At 37.1% G+C, this 22,597-nt stretch overlaps 1 protein-coding gene and 1 pseudogene across 1 annotated transcript in view; both read left to right on the plus strand.

Annotated features, from left to right (window-relative positions):
* The window catches only part of ITGA1 (integrin subunit alpha 1), a 171,294-nt gene that overhangs the window by 90,851 nt on the left and 57,846 nt on the right, over positions 1 to 22,597 (plus strand). Inside the window, exons 7-11 of the mRNA NM_181501.2 lie at positions 3,107 to 3,255; positions 9,049 to 9,199; positions 14,909 to 15,074; positions 18,689 to 18,762; positions 19,473 to 19,617. Coding sequence (NP_852478.1) covers positions 3,107 to 3,255; positions 9,049 to 9,199; positions 14,909 to 15,074; positions 18,689 to 18,762; positions 19,473 to 19,617 — 685 coding nt within the window. The remainder of the gene's footprint in view (positions 1 to 3,106; positions 3,256 to 9,048; positions 9,200 to 14,908; positions 15,075 to 18,688; positions 18,763 to 19,472; positions 19,618 to 22,597) is intronic.
* Positions 10,900 to 11,188, plus strand: B3GNTL1P1 (B3GNTL1 pseudogene 1; annotated as a pseudogene).

The raw sequence follows: 22,597 nt of genomic DNA on the forward strand, positions 1-22,597 counted from the left end.
AGGTTACAATTTGTGTGACTTGTGTCTAGCAGCATTCAAAGCCACAGAAGCATATAGAGAGGAGGAGATAATTGGATTTAACCCGAGTTGGAAGTTAGCCAAGTGAGTCATTGGAGGGAAAAAAAGGTTAAATGAGTTAAATGTTTGCAAATAAATGATTATAGTCATTGGACCATGGAATCTAGTCTAAGTACCAAAAAAAAAAAAAAAAATGGCAGTATTAATGAATTAGTTGGAGGTCTTGATATGGTCAGGGAATTAGTGAAATGAGCCAAAGTTAATGTTCAAAAAGAAGGACATTTGAAATTGGGATTGACCTGCTGACAAGGTCTTCCAAATGACAAGGTCAAGGATAAGACCTTGGGAGAAGATGGCTAGAGGAAAGATTACTGATGCTGGGGAGGTCAAAGAAATGAGAGACTAGGGTATTCCACAGATTATCAGTGGATACTAGATTAATAGATTATTAAGTAGATGCCAAAATTTTCAAGAAAAACAACAGGAGTAGGAGGGAAAATTTTCAAAGTTCTTTAGCCTCTTAATCAAATAAAAACAAAGGGGAAGAAAAACAAAGCAAACTGTAAGATGTCCTTAATTGATGAGCAATTAACTTCCACAACAGTGTTTGTTCACTTTGATACCTAGAATTAGCCATAATGATTATCCAAGTAACAAAACCATTTTGCTTTTATTTACACTGAACATTTATATACCCAAAGACATGTGTATCCATGGATATGTCCCTTAATAATTATTCAGTGTTTCCAAGGATTACTAATCAAAAACTTTAGGGTCATTGAAGAAAAGAATTTTAAATTTATGCAGAGGGTAATAAAAATGTTCCTCACATTTTATTATAAATAAAGAAAATATCCTGAATTGCAGTCATAGATGTGTCTTTATCCACTTTATTATTTTTGTGTAATTAGTTGGCTGTATCCTATCTTGTTCCCAAAGGGTCTTTTGGTCACCTTTATTCCAAATATAGTAGCTCTCTCAGAATAGGTGGTAAAGGATATTGGGTGAAAGATAAACTCACAGAACAAGGCTAACCTGGACATGAATTGAGCAGAGTGCATGTTCATTCAGCTGATGATGTAACCTCATCTTACAATTACATATATTCTCTAGTTATTTCTTATTTATCTTATACCTAACTAAGCAACTTTAGGAGAGAATTCATATGTTCTATTATTTTTTACAAAATATGATATATGTATTTATGTGTTTGTTTCATCATATACTCTAACATATCTCAGTTAACTAGCTAGTTAAGCAAATTCATTGAGTAGCCATGAAGTGGCAGTGGCACTCAGCAGAAGCTAGCAGGTTGAGGTGACTAAAGAATGGAGGATTTTAGATAGATGCCTTTTTACTGAGAGGAAATAGGGTGATTGAAAGAGCCCTTGGATAAGGGATACACATCTTAGACTAGACCCCCCTTCCACCACTTCACTATAGGGATTGGGTGTTTTCAACTCAGTTTCCTCACTTATGAAACATTATCATGTTTCTGTTATTATAATTTAAATAATTAGAGAAGAAAGTTTTAAAAAGACCATTAAATATATATCATAGTATTCTTATTTAAGCATAAGGACATAATTGCTCCAACATAACCAGTGTACTCTAGAGGGTAACTCAAAGATGATAAAAATTGCTTTAAATTTGGGCTTCTCTTATTTGTTTCTAAAAACACACCAGAATATGCTTTTAGTTTCCAAAAAGACTTAGTGTGAAAATGTACATATAAACAGACATGAAATTAAGACTAAAGCTTTCTGACATCAGTGATTTCAGCAGAGGAGCCTGGAAACCAGTTACTGAGCCTTCATGCTACTTAAGAATAAGGTTAGACTAAGAAATAGGATTTGCTCTAAAGCAAGTAACAGAGGCAACTTCACCAACAGGCAAAGTAGGCAATTGCCTTGGAAAGAAGGCAGGCTTGTTGCAAATTACCTCCCTTACCCAAGTAATGAATCACCTGGAATTCCTGAATTAAAGAGACATTCCTTTGGGCAAATAATTTTCTGAGTCTGGATTTTGAGATAGGATGGTTAAACAAAAAGTCATCTTCAGTCACAATTTTTAATGCAGATTAGTTTATTGGTTCACATCAACCTTTAAAGGGAGATGTGGAAAAAGTGTAGGAGAGATAGCCATTACTGGGGCCAGGAGGCAGGTGGGAAGAGGAAGAATATGGAGCAAGGGAAATCAAATCTGGGGGCACTTTCCCTCCTGTATTTCACTGCATGAAGGCTCTGCAGTTAGCTGCCTGCGTTATCCAATCTGTGGACTAAAGGGAATGAAAGGAGGAAGGCAGTAGGAAAGGAAGACAAAACAAGGAAAGAAGGTGGAGTTGGGAAGGGCTGATTTGGGAGAAATGAGGCTGCAGCAAGGTTAGACAAAGCTCACTGCTCAAGTGTGTAACCCTGCAGGCTACATAACCTGATTATTCCTCCAGCTTCATGGTGCCCTCTTCTTTCCTCACAGCCCTGGCCATGGCTCACTGCCTTTCTTTCCATTCTTAGGGTAGATCTATCTCTTTCCCATCCTGGTCTTCTTCACATACACAGTTTCCCCTGTATGGACGCTCTGCCCTTCTAGCACTCACTCTTGAAGTCTCAGCTTCTGAGAAGCCTTCCCTGGACCCCCATTTTCAGTCTGGCCTCTAGATTATATTGGCTGATTAGGGATTTTCCCATACAGTCCTTTCCACAGTTTGCAATTGTTCATGTATTTGAATGATCACGTGTTTAATCTCTCTCTCCTTCTAGCTTTAGAGAAGCTCCATGAAGGCAGAGACCATATCAGTGTGTTTCATATTCTACCCACCAAGGCCTACCAGAGTTACTCTGTAAAATCTGTTGAATTAGATAAACCAATCGTTTGAGAAGTTTAGTAACAGCATGTTTGCTTTTGTTCTTTGGACTACGAACAGTCACAGAATGGCTATGCTTATTACTGTCAAAATAGAAGCATTTGTGTACTGATAGGTTTGCAAACTCATCTGAAATGTATTATATCTGATTCACATGGTTAACCTGAAGAAATCTGAACAGGAAATTTGGATTGACGTATAACTCACAGTGGCTTGGTATTTCAGGTTGGAATTGTACAGTATGGAGAAAACGTGACCCATGAGTTCAACCTCAATAAGTATTCTTCCACCGAAGAGGTACTTGTTGCAGCAAAGAAAATAGTCCAGAGAGGTGGCCGCCAGACTATGACAGCTCTTGGAATAGACACAGCAAGGTATATGGATAAAAAAATAAACTAAAGTAAAAGACTGCAAAAATAACTGCTCATGATTTAGCCTTTTGGCATATCAATTGAAAGTTTAATATGACAATATTTAAAGCCATTTTGTTTAAAATGAGATTCAGAAGATTAAATAATGGTTACAAGATCAGATGTTTGTATGACACAATCTCACCATCCTTCTTATCCTTCTCTTGTTACAAGGGTTTAATTGATAGAGAATCCATTTTAAAATATCACTGCATCTATATTTTCATGTTCTTGGGTACTAAGACAATATTAGTTAATATTTGTTTCATTTATTTTTTGTTTTCAACTTCTAAGAGTCTCAATCTAAAAGAACGGATTAAAAATAGGTCTACCTCTACTCAATATATATTTATATTCTAGAATGTCCATGTATTTTCAGTACTTGATTTACCGTTATCGAAGCTACTAGATAAGAGGTGTTAAGGCGCCAAATTAAATATTGTCTATTTAAAATCATTTTTAGTGCAAAGTTTGAAAGAAATGGAAAGGATATTATCATTTGTAATCCTCTCTCCTTTTTTACTTTCTTTAGATTCCCTCCAATTTACAACCCTTCCTTTCTTCCATCTGCAGTTTTCCTTATGGTGAACACATAACTCAGTCTGTGGTTGAATTTCATTTTATAAGAACGAACAGAATTGTCCTCTCTTACAAATGTAGAACACTTTATTTCCTGTGTGTTCTCTTATCTCATTCATTAAACTAGCAAACTTCTGAACAAATTCAAAACAATACAAAAATCACAGGAAATGTAATAAGTAGTTTGATTAATGTTAAGAATCCTTCTGTTAAATGTCTTCAACTTCTGAACTCTTGCCTTAGGTGGAAAGCTAATTACCCATGCTCTCACTTCATCTGCCTGCTAAGATGACTGTTTTAAGAAGGTTAAAAAAGTTAATAATGATCCTGCAAAGAATGGATTGGATATTCAAAATTTTATAATTTCATGTACAGCTTTTGCCTCATGAATATTAGAAAATCATCTGGCTCTAGTTATATGGGGCCCAAGAGAAAATAACCACAAACAGATGGAGGTAATTGGACATTTACCTACCTATTGGATCACCTATTGGATCACCAATTTGTATACACAAAGAGTGCACATGTTTAGGTGTACCGAATGCACCCCCATTCAATAATCAATTAAATGTGACTGCACATTCGAAGTAAGTCAAAGTGTTCTTTGAAACCTCTGAGCCTGTAGGGAGCTGTACGTTTTCCAAAGGCAACCATTTAAGAATGAATATTCATCTCTGAAAACTAACTGAAGAAATATTCTGGCTGCTTTTGCTTCTGCATAAATACGGCTCTAAATACCATGTCCCTATGTGTTTTTTGCCTCTGTGTTTCACAAAGGGTATAGCTGTGGGACACAGAGTTTATTGAATTTTGATTATACATTAAAATTCTGTAGTGATAGTACCAAGTATTTTTCTCCTACATTAATTACCTTTTCATGTTTAAGCACATTTTAATTGTTTTTTATTCCTTTCAGGCAGAAGTTGCAAACAATATTTTTAATATTTTTAGAATTCTTTACCTTCATTTTCAGTAAATCCCAGTTCAAAGTTTTGTGTGTGTGTGTTCCCTTCTTCCTATCCCAAATTTTTACTTTTGTCAATAAACTTACAGTATTTAATCATGAGGCCTGGATTCTCCTGTCTTGAAGAAAGGGACACTCTTGATATATTTTAATTTTTTAAAGCATGCAGGAAAGTCAATGCTTAGTGCCAAGAAAGGACACTGGATACTGGTACTTTGAGGACAATGACAATTTTTTAAGGAATGTAGTTGAAACAGGAAAGGTGTACTCAGGAGTTCTGTCAATGTCTAATCTTCCAATATTACATAAAGCCAGCCCTGAGTTTAGAACAGTCACATTTTATTTATGAAAGGCCTTTTAATCATCTCCTTCAGCTGATGTTCATTCAATTCTTTTGTAACCCTGATATTTAAGAGAATTAGGAAGTTTTAGTGACCTAAGGAATTTGAATTTCAAAAGTGATTGAATCTCATATGATATTCGCATACAAAGATCTGTTAAAGACTAACATGTAACGTCTGTTTTCACCTTTGTTTGTATACTTTAAAAAGTCAGAAAATCGGCTGGGTGCAGTGGCTCGTGCCTGTAATCCCAGCACTTTGGGAGTCTGAGGCGGCTGGATCACCTGAGGTCAGGAGTTCGAGAGCAGCCTGGCCAACATGGTGAAACCCCATCTCTACTAAAAATACAAAAAAAATTAGCCGGGCGTGGTGGTGGGCGCCTGTAATCCCAGCTACTCAGGAGGCTGAGGCAGGAGAAGCGCCTGAACCCAGGAGGCGGAGGTTGCAGTGAGCCAAGATCGTGCCACTGCACTTCAGCCTGGGCAACAAGAGCAAAACTCTGCCTTAAAAAAAAAAAAAAAGCCAGAAAATCTACTTGTATAGTATGTTAAAAATTATTCATGATATTTGTTAAAGATTGTAAGGAAGACATCACTCAAGAGGAACCTTTATGATGAAGGTATTGCAGTAAGGAAGAGAGATAGGGCTCAGCTTTGACTACAGTGAGGACAAGTGGGCATTTATAGTCAAGGAACAGGGCAGGGATTGGCAGTAACATCAAGGCTAGGGGGATTCTTGCTAGACTGGCTCAACAGGATTCTTGCTGAAGGCAGATAAATAGTAGGAAAAATAAACTGTTTTTCTCTTTCTATATTCTAAACACTTGACATGTCACTTCTGATGCCAGATGTGTGGGATTTTTCCCACATCGACCAGTTATCTGACATCAGCTGCATGTTCTAGAATTCAATTCAGTTCTGACACCAACTAGAGTTTATGCAAACCTCCCACAGATTAACGGCTCAGTCCTTCAAGAATTCATTCCAATTTAGAGCCAGTAGGTTTCCAGGTACCCACGATTTGTCCAACGTGGCTACAAATTAGACCCCTTACTTGGGTTTGATTATATGCTAGAGTGGATCACAGAACTCAGTAAAGTATCTTACTTACTATTATTAGTTTATTATAAAAGGATACAACTCAGGAACAGCAAGAGATATGTAGTGCAAGCTATGAGGGAAAGGTGTCAGAGCTGCCATTCCCTCTCATGGTGTACCTCCTTCCACCTGTTCAGCAACCTGGAAACTTTCTGAACCCCGTAGTTCAGAAAGTTTTACAGAGGCTTGATCACAGGCATGATTGATTATTAACTGATTCTCTAGCCCCTCAATCTTTCCTGGAGAATGAGAGCTGGGGCTGAACGTTTCAAGCTTCTGATCATGGCCTGGTCCTTCTAGTGATCAGCTCCCATTTAGGAGCCCACCAAGAGTTACTTCATTAGAACAAAAGATACTCCTATCACCTAGGAAATTCAACAGATTAGAATATCTATGTCAGAAACCCAGGTTAAAGACCATATATTAGAACAAAAGATACACCTCTCACCAGTATTGCTCAGGAAGTTATGAGAGTTTTAGGAGTTCTGCACCAGAAACCAGAGGCAGAGACCAAATATATATTTATTATTTGTTAAAGGAAAATTTTAGACAAATTAAATTTGACAGAGTTTATTTGAGCAAAGAATGATTCATGAATCAGGCAGCAGTCAGAACCATAAGAAGTTCGGAAAGATCCATTTTAGCAGTGTGAGCAATGGGCTTTTACGAGCTGAATGCAAAATCAAATTAAAGAAATGACTTGATTGGCTATAGCTAGGCATTTACCTTATTTGGGTATGATCTGGTGGAAAGTTAGAGGTTACTTGCCAGGTTCTGATTGGTAAAGTCTCTAGTTAGAAGTTAGTTGCAGTTTCTAATTGGTAATGTTTAAGTTTTGTTTTACTGTTTACATTGAATTGGACTTTGGTTTGATTATATAGGAACATACGGCACTGGAGCTGTCTCAGCCTAATTGCCTATAAATTCAATTCTTTTAAAAGATAATATCATGGAACAGCGTAATAAGATTTAGAGGGTGGGGAATGAGGAATGTGATCAGATACCAAGGATGAGGGATTTCCACTAAATTGATTAAGCCAGATTCTTGCTTAAACTGGACTAAGTGGGTAAAGAACACAGCCCAGGGTCAGAGCCCAGTCTAGAAGAAGATGTAAAGGAGCCTGACTCGGTTTTGGTCAAGGAGAGGGTCTTTGTCAAGTATAGAGGGCAGAGAGACTCAAAGAAAGTAAAAAATTAGTACAACTATATCCTGTATATCCACCACTCAGAACTGACAGTTGTCAACATCTTGTCATATTTGCTTTAAGTCCTTCGAAAGGAAAAGTCATCACATAGAATCCTTTTCCCCATTTCACCAGAATCCTCTCTTCCTGCTTAAAGATATCAGTTATGGTATATTTAGTGTGTATCTGTTGTGCAAACTCTTTGGAATGTTAGCTTAAGACAGGCGTTTCCTTGGCAAATCTATCCCAAATGGCAGCTGTTTGTCTGTACAACCAAATATCTAAATGGACCATTCAGTACAATGATTGCTGTACTTTGTACCAAAATCCTAGAAATATATGAAGTCTTTTCATTACTTTAGTCCTAAATAAAATATACTCATCTCTTCCAAGACTCCAGAGCGAAAAGGTTTGAGTAAAAGGAAATAAAGGGGGAGGGGAGAAGTGTGTGTATATATTTATATAGAATACATACAAAACAAAAATTTTCCATTTCCCTGTCTTCTGTTTCTTTCCATAAGTGCTGTTCAATTAAATTCAAATTCGGTTTTTTGTTTTGTTTTGTTTTTGAGACGGGAAGGTGTCTCGCTCTGTCGCCCAGGCTGGAATGCAGTGGCGCGATCTTGGCTCACTGCAAGCTCCGCCTCCCGGGTTCACGCCATTCTCCTGCCTCAGCCTCCAGAGTAGCTGGGACTACAGGCGCCCGCCACCGCACCCGGCTAATTTTTTGTATTTTAGTAGAGACGGGGTTTCACCTTCTTAGCCAGGATAGTCTCGATCTCTTGACCTCGTGATCTGCCCGCCTCGGCCTCCCTGAAATTCAGGGTTTTTTTGCAGTTAGGTTATAGCATTTTCCCCTCCTCTCCATTGCCATCTTCTCCCATCCTGCTCTCAGCAGCCTGTGTGCTAACACATAGTTCAGGCCAAATGTTTTGTAACTCCTTCAACCACTTTTTGCTCCCTAAAACCCAACTGACTACTCCATGGACTCAGAGCATCACCATCTGCAGTCTATTACTCCCATGTGAAAGACTGCAGATGTCCCTATCCCCAGGACACTCTCAAGCACTCACAGCCCCACTAATACTCTGTTCTCTCTCATCTCTCCTCCCCAGATTAGAGGATTTTCGAGCCATTCTACAAATGTCAGAGTAGCTGTGGGGGAAGCAAAATCTCAAGCAAAAGTTTCTGCTAGACGCAGAAGAAAAGAGGCCTGTTAAATGAGAGAAGGGGTGTTTACAGAGAAAGGAGCACCTGGGGGAGTGTTTACAGATCTGGCCTTCTCTGACCATGATGTATGCCTCAGTCACACCCTCCCTTTGAAATTTCCAAAGAATGAAATACTGCTGCCTTTTTATATATAGGATGTGTGGTGATTAGCAAAACGGAGACCTCTCCATCATCTGAAATAAATCTAAAACTATTACAAACAAGGCTCATTATGCCTCCCAACTTGAATGATGGGCATTGATGCTAATTTTGGAGGGAAGCACCAGGCTACCTAGAGTAGTCAGTGTTTTTGTTTAGTTTTTTACTTTGTCTATTGTAAAGTGGTGTCTTATCAACCTCTCTTTTGTTTGTGATTACTTTAGAAAGGAGGCATTCACGGAAGCCCGGGGTGCCCGAAGAGGAGTTAAAAAAGTCATGGTTATTGTGACAGATGGAGAGTCTCATGACAATCATCGACTGAAGAAGGTCATCCAAGACTGTGAAGATGAAAACATTCAACGGTTTTCCATAGCTGTAAGTGTGTTGCCGGAGATATTTTCAAACTCTTAGGTGTAGAGAAGAGCTGTGTGCATATTGGGTAATTTTATGAAAGTCACACAAACCAGGTTGGAAAAGAGAAAGGTCTCCATTTGAAGGTAAGCCCTGGGAGGACAGACTTGGATCTTGCTCCCTCTGGGTCCTTAGTACCCAGCACAATGCCAGGCCAAACAGACACTCAACAAACAATCATTGAAAGGAAGGAAGGAAGGAAGAAAATAAGGAAACATGAAAAGAGGAAGAAGGAAGCAAAAACATAAGAAGGAAGGAAGGGTGAGAAAAAGAGGACTGAAAAAAAGAAGAGGAAAAGAAGAGGAGGAAAGGAAGGGAAGAGGGTGGGAAGGCGGGAAAAATGCCTTTGCCTTTAAATAAGAGAGAGGATTTGTTCAGTATAACAAGAGCAGTGGCCATTGGGCTTCCCTTCCCCGTCTGAGCAATTTTCGACTCTCTTTTTCATTAATTATCTTCCCCCATCACTTAGCTAAAGTGGGGGAAAGTGCCAGTTGTCTCTGTTTAAATATTAACAACTTCTGACGTTTGACACTTGCTTTTCAGCGAAGTAGACAGGAATTGAATTTTTGTTTTCTGATGCAATTTATAAGCTCCTGGTATAGACCTTTCGACCTAAAATGTAGACATTCTAGTGGGGAACAAGTTCTGAAATAAAAAGTTACCCAAATGGTATGCCAATTACTTCAGAGCTAGCTCTAGTTTTAACAGTGTGCTTCTTCAAAACAGCTTGCAGTTCTTCTCAGACATTAGTGCATTACTCCTGTAACCTCATTATTCCTATAGCTTCATGGAACAGCAGGTGAGGGAGCTGAGAAAGAGGCAAGGGCACCCAGTGACTTGGGTGGTCCCAGAGGACAGGGGCAAAGTGGCTTAAAGTCCTCTGATGAGACGTGTGGTATTTCCTCTGGGATGGTCACTGATACTCCCCAGGGAAAAGGATGAGGGCTTTACTGAAGCAAAAGAAAAGAATTGAGAATAAATCTGCCACTGCCTTCTCTCTAGTAAGGAACATTCAAAAGCCACTGCACTGCCTTCAAGACTCACTTTCTCACATTAACATTGAGTGTACATTATAGTATTTCAGTTGCTGCTCTAAACTACTATCCATTTTTTTTTTTAAATGGAGTCTCGCTCTGTCACCCAGGCTGGAGTGAAGTGGCACGATCTCGGCTCACTGCAACCTCCAACCTCCCAGGATCAAGCAATTCTCCTGCCTCAGCCTCCCAAGTAGCTGGGACCACAGGCGCACACCACCACACTTGGCTAATTTTTTTATTTTTAGTAGAGATGGGGTTTCACCATGTTGGTCGGGCCGGTCTTGAACTACTGACCTCAGGGGATCCACCTGCCTTGACCTCCCAAAGTGCTGGGATTACAGGCGTGAGCCACCGTGCCCAGCCCACTATGCATTTAATGATACAAATAAACAAGTCTTTCGTAGATTATAAACAGCAGCACTTTAAACAGTAATTTTAGTTCTTTTCTAACTTTCTATAAGTGAAAAATCTGTATCCTTCTTAATCAAACTATCAGTTTTTTAATCTACCATTCTAAATCTAACTTTAAAAAACTACATGTAGATGTGCAGTGGGGGTGAGCTACTCAGATGGGTAGGGGGAGCCTCAGACCTGGAGGAAAGGGGTGGGGGCAGCCCTCAAGCCCATTGCCCTTGTGCCCACTATCCTCCCAGGCCACAGTGCAGAACCATGGTCGGAAGGGTGCTTGAGGTCTGTTTTGTAACAGGACTTTGAAGGCAGCACCATGGAGCTCTTCGTTTTTAATGATGCCAGACAAGGCTATTATTGGAAAAAGAAATGTGAAGCCAAAAAATTCCTGTACCTTCATGGTCACTGGAGGCCAAGACTCTCCTTCTTCTTAGAGGATTTGGATATTCTTAAAAAAAAAAATCAAGCAATAGCAAAGGGCTCAGTGTCTTTCCTTTATTTTTTGGATTCCAGGAGCATAGCCTTGAATTAATCCGATCCTTGCTTCGTTCAGGCCAAATTGTAATCATTTGTTGAAACAAACTTTATTTGTTTCTCTGTTTAGAACTATATCTGTGTATTTATTTTAATAATATTATAAGCATCCATGGACCTACCACCCAAATTGAGAGCTAGCTCTCTTTTTTGGTAACTACATCTGAGCACATTTACCACCTGCCTTCCTCCACCTGGGTAACCATCAGTCCACTTTCTACATTCCTCAACCCTGGCTCTACTTTTCAAAATAATATTTAGGCACCCATACATATCCAAAAAAATAAATTTTAAGAATATTTCATTGTTTTTAACATTTTAAAAAGAGTGTAATGCTGTATATAATATTTTGGAACTTTTAAAACTTAATACTATATTAAGATTCATCCATAATGTTGCATATCTGTATAGTTCATTCTGTTTTTAAAAATTGAAGTGATATTTACAATACAGTGAAATGCAAGGTTTCAGTGTGAAAAGTGTGCACGAAGTGAACAATTTGGTGAGTTTTGACAATTACGTGCACCCACATAAGACTTAATCAAGATATAGAGCAATTTCATCACTCCCAGAAAGTTTCCTGTGCTTTCTTTTTTAAAATGTATCTTTAATTTTTATGGATACACGATAGCTGTACATATTTACCTGGTACATGTGATATTTTGATACAGGCATACAGTGGCTAATGATCAAATCTGGGCAATTGGAATATCCATCACCTCAGACACTTATCATTTCTTTGTGTTGGGAATATTCCAAATCTTCTCCTGTAGCTATTTTGAAATATACAATATGTTTACTGTAGTTGTCCTATAGTGCTACTGAACACTAGCTCTTATTCCTTCCATCTAATTATAGTTTTAAATCCATTAACTAACCCCTCTTCATCCCTGCTCTTCCCCACTACTCTTTCCAGCCTTTGATAACCACCATTCTATTCAGTATGTCTATGAGATCCACATTTTCAGCTCACACATTTGAGTGAGAACGTAGTGATATTTGTCCTTCAGTGCTTGGCTTATTTCATTTAATATAATGTTCTTCAGTTCCATCCATGTTGCTGGAAATGACAAAGTTTTGTTCTTTTTAATGGATAAATAATATTCTGTTGTGAAGATATACCATGTTTTTTTAAATCCATTCATCCATTGATCCATACTTAAGGTTAATTCTATATCTTGTCTATTGTAAACAGTGCTGCAATAAACAGGGGAGTGCAGATATTTCTTCAATATACTATTTCCTTTCTTTGGGATATATACCCAGCAATGTTTTTTTTTTCTTTTTTTTTTTTCATTTTAAATACACACCTCCTGTAGTAACCACTGATGTGACATACCACCATAGCTCACTTAGATTGCCAATTCTTGAATTTCAAATAAATAAAACTGTATAGTATGTACTGTGTGTTTAGCTTTTCACTCAACATAATTATTGCTTGTGATATTTTGTGTACTGGGGATTCATTTTTTGTTATTGTTATCTATTTTATAGACCACAATTTGTACTCTACTGTTTATAGACATTTTGCTTGTGTCCAGTTTGAGTTATTGTTATAAATGTATCATGAACACTAAAAAAAAAAAAAAAAAAAAACCAAAGTGATAATCTTCAGGTAACACTTGCAACTATGGTAAAAACTAATTTTTTTATTTATTACAGAAGTGATTTTTTATTATAAAGTTTTAAAAAAAATATTGAAGCAAATATAAGGAAACACCTAGTGTCCTAATATACAGAAATACAAAATAATATATTATGATACACATTTTTTCACATTTTTTATGCCCATGTACTTATGTGATTTAAAAAATAGAATTAGGTCATATCTACATATTGGGGATTTTTAAATTTTTTTGCATGTTAAATTTTACATATTGTTTTAAAAATGTTTTCATTATCTTGAACATTTTTATATTAAAAACAGTTTTAACATAAAAAATTTTTACATTAAAAACTAATTTTTTTAGGCAGAAAAAGTACAAACCTCAACAAAGCTAATTAGTTGGACTTCATCAAAATGTAAAACTTCTACTCTTCAGATGACACTGTTGAGAATATGAAAAGACAATCTACAGACGGGAAGAAAACATCTGCAAAACACATAAAGGACTTGCATCCAGACTATATACAGAACTCTTACAACACATTTAAGGGAAAATAAACATCTCGTTTTCTTTTAATGGGAAAAAGATTTGAACAGACACTAACTACACCGAGGAAGAAATACTATAGCAAATAATTGTATGAAAGAGTCTCAACATCATTAGTCATTAGAGAAATGCAAATTAAATAAGACACCACTATACGCTAACACAATTGCTAAAACTAACAAGTGAACAAAAAAAACTGACAATAACAAGTATTGACACGCATGCAAAGCAGCTGGATCTCTTAGACATTTCTGATGGGAATAGTAAAATGGCAAAATGGGACGATTACTGTGGAAAGCAGTTTGGCAGTTTCTTAAAAAGTTAATCATTCACTTATTGTATGACCCAGCACTTTCATTTCTAGTTATTTACTCAAGAGAAAAGAAAATATATGTCTATTACAGAGACCTACATGTGAATATTTACAGCAGCATTATTCATAATATGTTGAAGCTGCAAACAACTCAAATGTTCTCATTAAGTAAATTGTGGTGCATCCATACAATGGAATGCTACTCTGCAATAGAAAGGACCCAACTACTGCTACATGCAGCAACACGGATGACTCTGAAAAGCATTGTACAAAGTCACAGAAGCCAGACACAAATGGCTACATACTATATGATTCCTTAAATCTGACATTCTGGAAAAATCAAAGCTATAAGGACAGATTATTTATCGGTGGTTGCCAGGGTTGAACGAGGGGAGGAAGGGATTGACTATAGGGGCAGGAGGGAACTTTTTGGGGTGATGTAAATATTCTACACCTTGATGTGGCAGTAACACAACTATATTGGTTTGTCACACTCATAGAATTGTACATCTAAACAGGGTGAATTTTACTGTATATAATTTATTGCAATAAACCTTACCTTAAAAAAAAACTAAATGTTTGAGAAAACCTGCTTGGACATCTAAATAATTATAGTTAACAATCATATATAACTCCTGCTTCTCTCTCCTCTTCATAAAAAAGAATGCCCCTGTCTCCAGCATTTGGTTTCAAACAAGAATATCTCAATTGTTTATTTTCCAGATTGCCAATTTAGATTACCACTTAGTCCAGTATGTGTTTAAAATATATATGTGCTGGACTGTGCCTTGGTAATAGTTTCAGGAAGAATTGCTCATTCAAAAGCAGGCAACTCACTTGCTGATTGCCTTTGCCAGCAGATAATGACATCACTAGCTGGAATAATATCAAAGACATTCAGAAACTATGAATATAACATTACTTTTGAACTGTCAGATTTTAAAAATACAGCTGTTAGTAACAGGGACACAGAGTACAAGAGGAGAAATTTTCACAGACATACAAAATTGCCCTTTATATTTTTCTACACCAATTGTGGTGTTTATATAACAGTTAATATTAGGGAGTCTACAAATTTTGAAAATCACTCTTCCATAAATATGAAAGTACATAAAAATTCCATTATGCTAAGGTACTCTACACTGTTGTTTACTGACAAAATGCTTGAGATCCTTTATTTAACACATAGAATTTAAAATATATTCTTGCTGTTTCTGTTGTGTCTTAGATTCTTGGCAGCTATAACCGAGGAAATTTAAGCACTGAAAAATTTGTGGAGGAAATAAAATCAATTGCAAGTGAACCCACTGAAAAGCATTTCTTCAATGTCTCTGATGAATTGGCTCTAGTCACCATTGTTAAAACTCTGGGAGAAAGAATATTTGCCCTGGAAGGTATGTCTATTTATCTTATTGCTGCATGTTCTCTCTGCAATTCAAAATCAGTATAATGGGATTTTTGTATTTATTCCTAATACATCAGTAATACTTTTTTTTTTTTTTTACTGTGTACAATATCTAGCATGGAACAATGCTCTTTTATATAAATCTGCCATTAAGATGGCTGTTTCTCACAACACTGTGTCTGCTAGAGACTCTCTTTGTAAGGGCATGGTAGGGCAGTGCTGATGGGACAGCCGATGAAGACAATGGTCAATGTAGATGTGCCAGGACAAAAATGTTTCCATGTGCTTTGTTCCTTTTCTGTTACATAGATTTGGAAAATGAGGGTACTACCTCTGGTTTGGGTTTTTTTTGTTTGTTTGTTTCTTCATTTCATATTGAGCTACTACAAGAGTGCTCTTATGCAATAACTTCTTTGTTCACTTATTTTCTCTGTATTTTGCTCCTTGCCCATTTTAAAGGTCTTCATGGAAATTTGCCTTAAAATCCATGGCAATGAAACATTGGTTCACTGTATTTGTCTAAATCATGTTACTTCTTTGCAGATTTTTCCTTGAGTTTTCAATGGTGACTGGCTGTTGAGGATAACGAGTTATGGCATTCCCTATTCTGCCTTAGGTAGAGGATGTCAAGTAGCTAATTACTTTGGAACTCGATCTTTCCTAAAAAACAAAAAAAAAAAGTCTTCAGAATTGTTATGCCAGGCAAACTGGCAAAGCTTCTTTCTTCACATTCTTTGATGATCTCTAGTCTCAGGGAACATGCGCCTTTTCTCCAACTAGGGAGAGAAACCACCAGAGAATTCTTTTCCCCTTAGGCTACATCCAAATCCAGTTGACCCTGTCCTTGTGAGGACACACTGAAAGACTGTTGTTTCTACATCTTAACAATAGAAATTTAAAAGCACTTTCTCAGTTTCCCTGATTTGATTGATAATAGGAAACAGAAAGACAAAATGGGAATGAGACACAACTGAAAAAAAGTAGACCATTTTGATTGAGCGTCAAGGGGCTGGGAAAATGCAGAAAAATTAGAATATGAAAATGTACAGAAAGGAAAGATAATTATTTAGAGTTATGGCTTTCAAACTTTTTTTGAGTGTGACTCACGATAATAACTACATTTTGCTTTTTGACCCAGTGCACATAAATATATACATATAAAAATAAGGCAAAGTTTCACAAGATAATTCTTATTACATGTGATGCACTGTGATGGTTTCTCATCAATTCCATTCTACCCTAATCTCTTTCAATGAAAAAAAAATGCTGGCTATACTCAGTCTGTTGATTTCATGACTGGGTCACAATCCGTACTTAGAACATTTGATTTAGAGGTGATAGGAATCTACAGGCCAGCCAGACTGAATTTCTGTGCCTCCCTTTTCCCCTGGCCTCTTTCCCCTGTGCCTTTAGAAACAGAACACTCTAATTGTTTATGAGTCTGGAGTCCCAGCTGCTTCTGAAGAACTCAGCTGTCTTGTGCTCTGTGTACAAGTCATTTTTAAGTGGCTTTGGTCTCTCAACAGCTCTCCCGGTGTCATTTACCAATAAACCAGATTATGAGCTTGGCTGGCCTTAAGGAAAATACATAAGGTCTTCCAACTAATTGTGTACTTTTAATTTTTAATAACATGGGCTAAGATATGATAGAAACAATCTGTAAAAATAATTTAAAAGAAAAGTTACATAGTTACATTTGATAGTTCAACAGAATACAGTGTCATTTCTAAATCTCCTTTTAAGTAAGCAAGTAACCTAAAACTGGCAAAAATGAAGCCCACTTCAGCTAGGGGAGGGGGAGATCAATTGCCTGAAATGACATTTCAGATTATTTCTAACCTAACTACACCATGGATTAAAGGTGACAGGTTGAAGAGCCCAAACACTCCAAGAAGTCTCTATATTTAAATATGACATCATTTTATAAGGAACTTTACAGATTACAAATGTCTTCTATATCATCTTTGTTGCTACACTACACCAAAAGCAGTGTTTTGACTAGACTATTTCTTATTTTTTTCATGAGATATTTAAAAAGGCTTTATTTCTTTGTTGCTCGGGAAATCTCCATTTCCTGTCAACATGTATCTTAAGATGACAAGTAGCTGTGATTATGAAATTTCTGTTTGCCAAGGACAGTGCCATCTATTGAGGCAAGTATGCCAAGGACTTGCTTAGTACATCAGAAAATAGTCTACTGTCTCCATTTCCCGTTGAGCACTGGGAGAAAATGCCAACATTTCTAACCAGAGGCTGCACAGTGGTTAGAGTGGCTGGCCCAAACACCCATGAACAGTCCAGGGAGAAGTTTGAAGCAAGAAGCCCAGGAGAATATAGTGGTCTATTACCATGATGCCACTGCAGCAGGAAGAACATCACATAGCGTCCTTCTGTCTGTTCTCAGCTGAAGGCAGAATAGCGGCAGGGCAGGTGCTGAAAATAATGCAGGTTTCCGTTGCTGCATTCTTATTGATCTTGCAGATAAGTGAGAAAACACCTGAAAGCATTGTGGACTGAAAATACATGTTTAAATTAAAGTTAAAATGCATCTCAGTCATTTAAATTACAGGGCAATTCACACAAGAGATTAAAATGATATATTTGAATTCTTCACTGCCGCGTCTAATCTAGTCCTACAAAGGTAATTACTGATGTATTTGTTCACAATTTTATCCATGTAAATAACTAACAAATAGTTACATTCACAAATTTGATTATTCTCTTGCCTCAACGAAAGGGCAGACTGACTTTCTTAAGTGCTATTTTTAACTTATCTGCAAGGCCAAATAAATCAGTAACCCCTAGTGCAAGCAAATAAATCAACATTCCATCAATTCCCTCAGGAAATTGTGGCTTTGGGTTTGTGAATATTTTGAGAATAATTTGAGAGTAGCAGACTGCCATGGAATGCTCTGAATTATCTCTGCATTTCAGTAAAGAGCTTCAAAATGGGTACAGGATCTTTTAAAAATGTATGATTGAATGGCATGTGGGCAGCCCTATCACAAAGACCCCTCTGGATCTGTGAGTGATACTTACCACCAGTAATTAGAGCAAATAAATGCATACTAAAATACCTAAACCCTTTATCACACAATGAAATTCTGACAGAATCTATGGCCTGAATATGGGTGGGACTGATGGAGTTGAGAAACCTCTTTAAATATGTGAATGAAATTTTTTTCAGTCCCATAACATATTAAGGGAGTTTAGCCTAAGGGCTCAGCAGGGTTCCCAAGGCATGAATTTGGACAGGAATTTCCTACTGTAGTACATCCAACTTGAGCCTTGTGGACCCAAAGCACCATAGGATCCACAACATGCTACAGTATAAGAATGGAGATTTCTCAACCCCTCTGGCGAGGACAGGGCTGCTAATGAACAAGAATTTGAGACATGAGCCCTTTGACTATTTTTCTCTGTCTTCTACCCAGGCCTACCTAGAAATTTTGGGTTGAGAAATGTATGGCTGAAAATGCCCTAAGATGTTTGAAGTTCTGGTTGGTAAGACCACAAGCTCTACCAGGTATCTGTATTCTGCAAGTCAGTAGTGCATGAAAAGGCATTGTTACTTATTTACAGTGATATTTTCCTATGTTATAGCCACAGCTGACCAGTCAGCAGCTTCATTTGAAATGGAAATGTCTCAGACTGGCTTCAGTGCTCATTATTCACAGGTATGTTGACCAGTTGGTGAAAAATGAAATATATGTTTGCAAGACTTCCCTTCCCAAAACCAACATCTAGCCATCAGTATGTAAGTGCAACGTGCAGTTCATAGCTTGAACAATTATGCAGGCTATGATGATGTTTTCTAATTCAAATAGGAAAATATCATTTCACAAGCTTCTTATTAAGAAAATATGTTCTCTCACACAGTTCACTACATTGTACTAATAGTTGTGAATCAGACAGTGTGAGCTTTGCCTTGTAATTATGTATCTGTCTAAATGAAATAATTTAACATATTTGCTACAGATGTGGAATATTTTTCCACAGGTCAAGGAATTCAAGGGTCTTATTAGAATTCCATGTTCAAGACCTAGGATGCTGGGCACCCAGAATAAAGTAGAAAGACAAGATTAGAAAATATATCATTTGCAGTTAATGAAAGAAAAGGCATAATGGTCCTTGCAAAAGAATATTGACATTTCCATGTGCAATTTTACTGTATAACTTGGGTAAGTTATTTGTGCCTTGATTTCCTTTTCTGTAAAACAGGTATGGTAGCAATAGCATCTAACTCATAGAGTTATCATGAGGATTATATAAGCTAACAAATGTAAAGCACTTTGAACAGTATACCTATACACATTGTTAATGGTGTTTAAGTATTTCCCCTTATTATTTTTATTAAATATTATTATCTTATTTATTTGCATGTAAGGACTGGGTCATGCTTGGAGCAGTAGGAGCCTATGATTGGAATGGAACAGTTGTCATGCAGAAGGCTAGTCAAATCATAATCCCTCGAAACACAACCTTTAATGTTGAGTCTACCAAAAAGAATGAACCGCTTGCTTCTTATTTAGGTAAGGTTTGGATATAATTATAAAAGAGTTGTTTTACTTTTCCATTTTTTACCTTTAGCATTATTTGCTTATGTTTCTATAGGCTTGCAACCATATAGCAGGATTATTTCAACAAGTTGGGTATTTTCCAGAACCCATGCAAAGTTTTAGGCCTCTGAGCAGCTTTAGTTAGTCAAAATGACATACATGGGGGTCCTTTTTTGTTAGTAGGGCTGTCTAATGCAGGGAATGGTTTAGGTTGATATGTGCCCTTTCTGATATGTTCAGTTTCTCTGTGTCTGGTATCAACTTTAACTTCAAGGAGAACTTTGAACCTGGTGGACAAGAAATGAGAGTAGAAAAGGAAACCTCGACTTCTCCTATATCCTGAAAACCAAACTCATATTGTCTTAAATGTCTTCTATCATTAATTTCTCTCTATGGGTCCTAATTTGGGAAAAGAAAAATGTATTTTGTCATGTAACTTCTTCTTTAATAGCTCCATTCACAATCAGACAAATATTGAACTTAAACCCAGTGATATAACATGATCTTGTTTCCCAGTGTCTTGCCAGAAATGAGGAGTTGTATGTCTGGTACCACTTTATTTGGGATCTATACCAAGCTGAGCAACACCTGGGGGATGCCAGGGAACTCTCCCCTCACTGAAAAAAGATATTCACCAACAGTTGGGAGGACCTAAAATAAAAAGGACCATCAGGATATGGCTTCCCAGCTCTTACTCACTCAACAAATATTTGGGGGATCCTCTTTTGCCCCAGGCATTGATCTTAGTGCTGGGAATAAAGTGATAAAGAAAACACATACCTTGGCCTGGAAGCATTCACAGCTTCACGTGTTAGCCTTCCTCTCTGGGATCTTTCTGTCCCGGAGACAAGTCTTTTTCTCTCTGTCCCAGTTGCTTTCTATTTTATCAGGAAGGTGGCAGGTCTTTACTGCGGTGTTTATACATCTCCTTATTGAAGGACACCTATTAAAGCTGTAGGAGCAGCAGGACTTAAGAAGAATAAAAGGACTAGAGTTTTAGATGACTAAAAATGTAACAGTCAACAGCAGCTGCACTGTGACTGCTAAAATCTCTTAAGACATGTAGAACTGCATGAATGAAAGTCCAGTCTGTTTCTCATAGAAATCCTGTTACATTCCACTCTGGTCAGACAACAGCTAGAGTATCTGGTTGTTCTAAGTATCACATACTACAAGGAGAAAATGACAAACTAGGATGTGCCAGTAAAATATTACACAGAAAAGTCAGCTCCCGAAGCAATTCCCTGCTACAAGTCTCACTCTCTCGAAAACTTAAAGAAATTGAAGGTTAGAAAACAAAGTGTGCATTGCATGTATTTTAGGTATTTGGAGGATTGTGATATAAAATATAGGGGTTAGGCTTAAAATTCATTTCAAATTTTAGCATTAAAAGAGATCCTATGGAGCATGTAGTCTTAATTTCCAATCAAGAAACTGAGAGATAGAACAATTATGTCCCAGCTGCCTATGGCAGGTGTGAAACCACAATTGAGGCTTCTTGATTCTTATGTCAGTGTTTATATCACGATACCAAAATAACTGATTCTGGGTTGATTAAGAAAGCACTGCACAAATATTGAGTACCAGCAATGTGCCAAACACTGAGTTTATAGGGAATAAAAAGATAGATGGGGCAGGTCAGTTCCTACACTGATAAACCTTACTTTTTTGGGTGAGAGACAATAATGAAACAAGCAATCACTATCAGTATGATATGTGCTATGACACAGAATACCTAAAAAAGAGGGCTGGGGATTAGATTAGATATCTTCTAAAAGTTCATTACATCCTAAGGTTCTATGAGACTGTTTATGTGAAATACCTTGGAATCAAGAACCAGCTTAACCTGAGGCTTCTGTTATATGTAGAATAAATATAGAACATTTATCTTCCTATATAATGGATGACATATAAATTAGTAAAACTCCTTATGAAAGGCATTTGACAATGTGTTTACAGAGCTATAAAAAATGTTCGTACCACATTTATACAGAAATTTCACTTCTGTGGACCTAACCTAGGGAAAAAAATCCAATATTTAAGAATGCCAAGTGAACAATGATTTCCATTGTATTATTATTTATGTTATTGGGGGAAATGCCATTATCCTAAATGCCCGAAAATATGCAGGTAGTTAAGTAAATAGTAAATCCACTTAATGAATATTACACACCCATAAAAATAAAAATTATAAAGCTGCTGATTCTATGATACTAAAGACTTGAAGCAGTTATGGTACAAGGTGTACAATTAGCGATAGCGATGAGGTCATAGAGACTTGAGCTTGTTTTCTGATTCTGCCCCTGGCTATGGCTTTAGGCAAATTACTCTCCCCCTCAAAGCCTCAATTTTCCTATTTCTAAAATGGAAATAATTACACCATATATATCATTTGGGTTGTTAGATTAAGTAATGACTATATTTAGTACTGTGCCTGACACACAGTTAACACTCAATGGGTGTTGTCTATTATTTTATTATGTAAATGTTATTATGTATTTTTTTATTGTGTAATGTTATATAATAAACATTCCTCTTATTAGTATTGTGGTAGGCAGAATAATGATCCCCAAAGATGTCCATGTCCTAATCCCTGGACCCATACTTTGCATGGCAAAAGGGACTTTTCAGATATGATGAAATTAAGGATCCCGAGTTGGAAGATTATCCTCAGATATCTGGCTGGACCTGATACAATCAAGCATTCTAAAAATCAGAGAACCTCTCCTGGATGTGGCCAGAGGGAGACAGAACTATGGAAAAATGGTCAGAGAGATGCAGTGTTGTTGGCTTTAAAGATGGAGGGGGGCCACAAGCCAAAAACTGTAGATGGCTCTAGAGCTACAAAGGGCAAGAAAACCGATTCTCCTTGATAGGCTCCCGAAAGGAACACTGACCTGCCAATATCCTGATGTTTAGTCCAGGAAGCTCTATGCCAGACTTCTAATAAACA

Source organism: Homo sapiens, chromosome 5, assembly GCF_000001405.40.
Source record: "Homo sapiens chromosome 5, GRCh38.p14 Primary Assembly".
Classification (NCBI taxonomy): domain Eukaryota; kingdom Metazoa; phylum Chordata; class Mammalia; order Primates; family Hominidae; genus Homo; species Homo sapiens.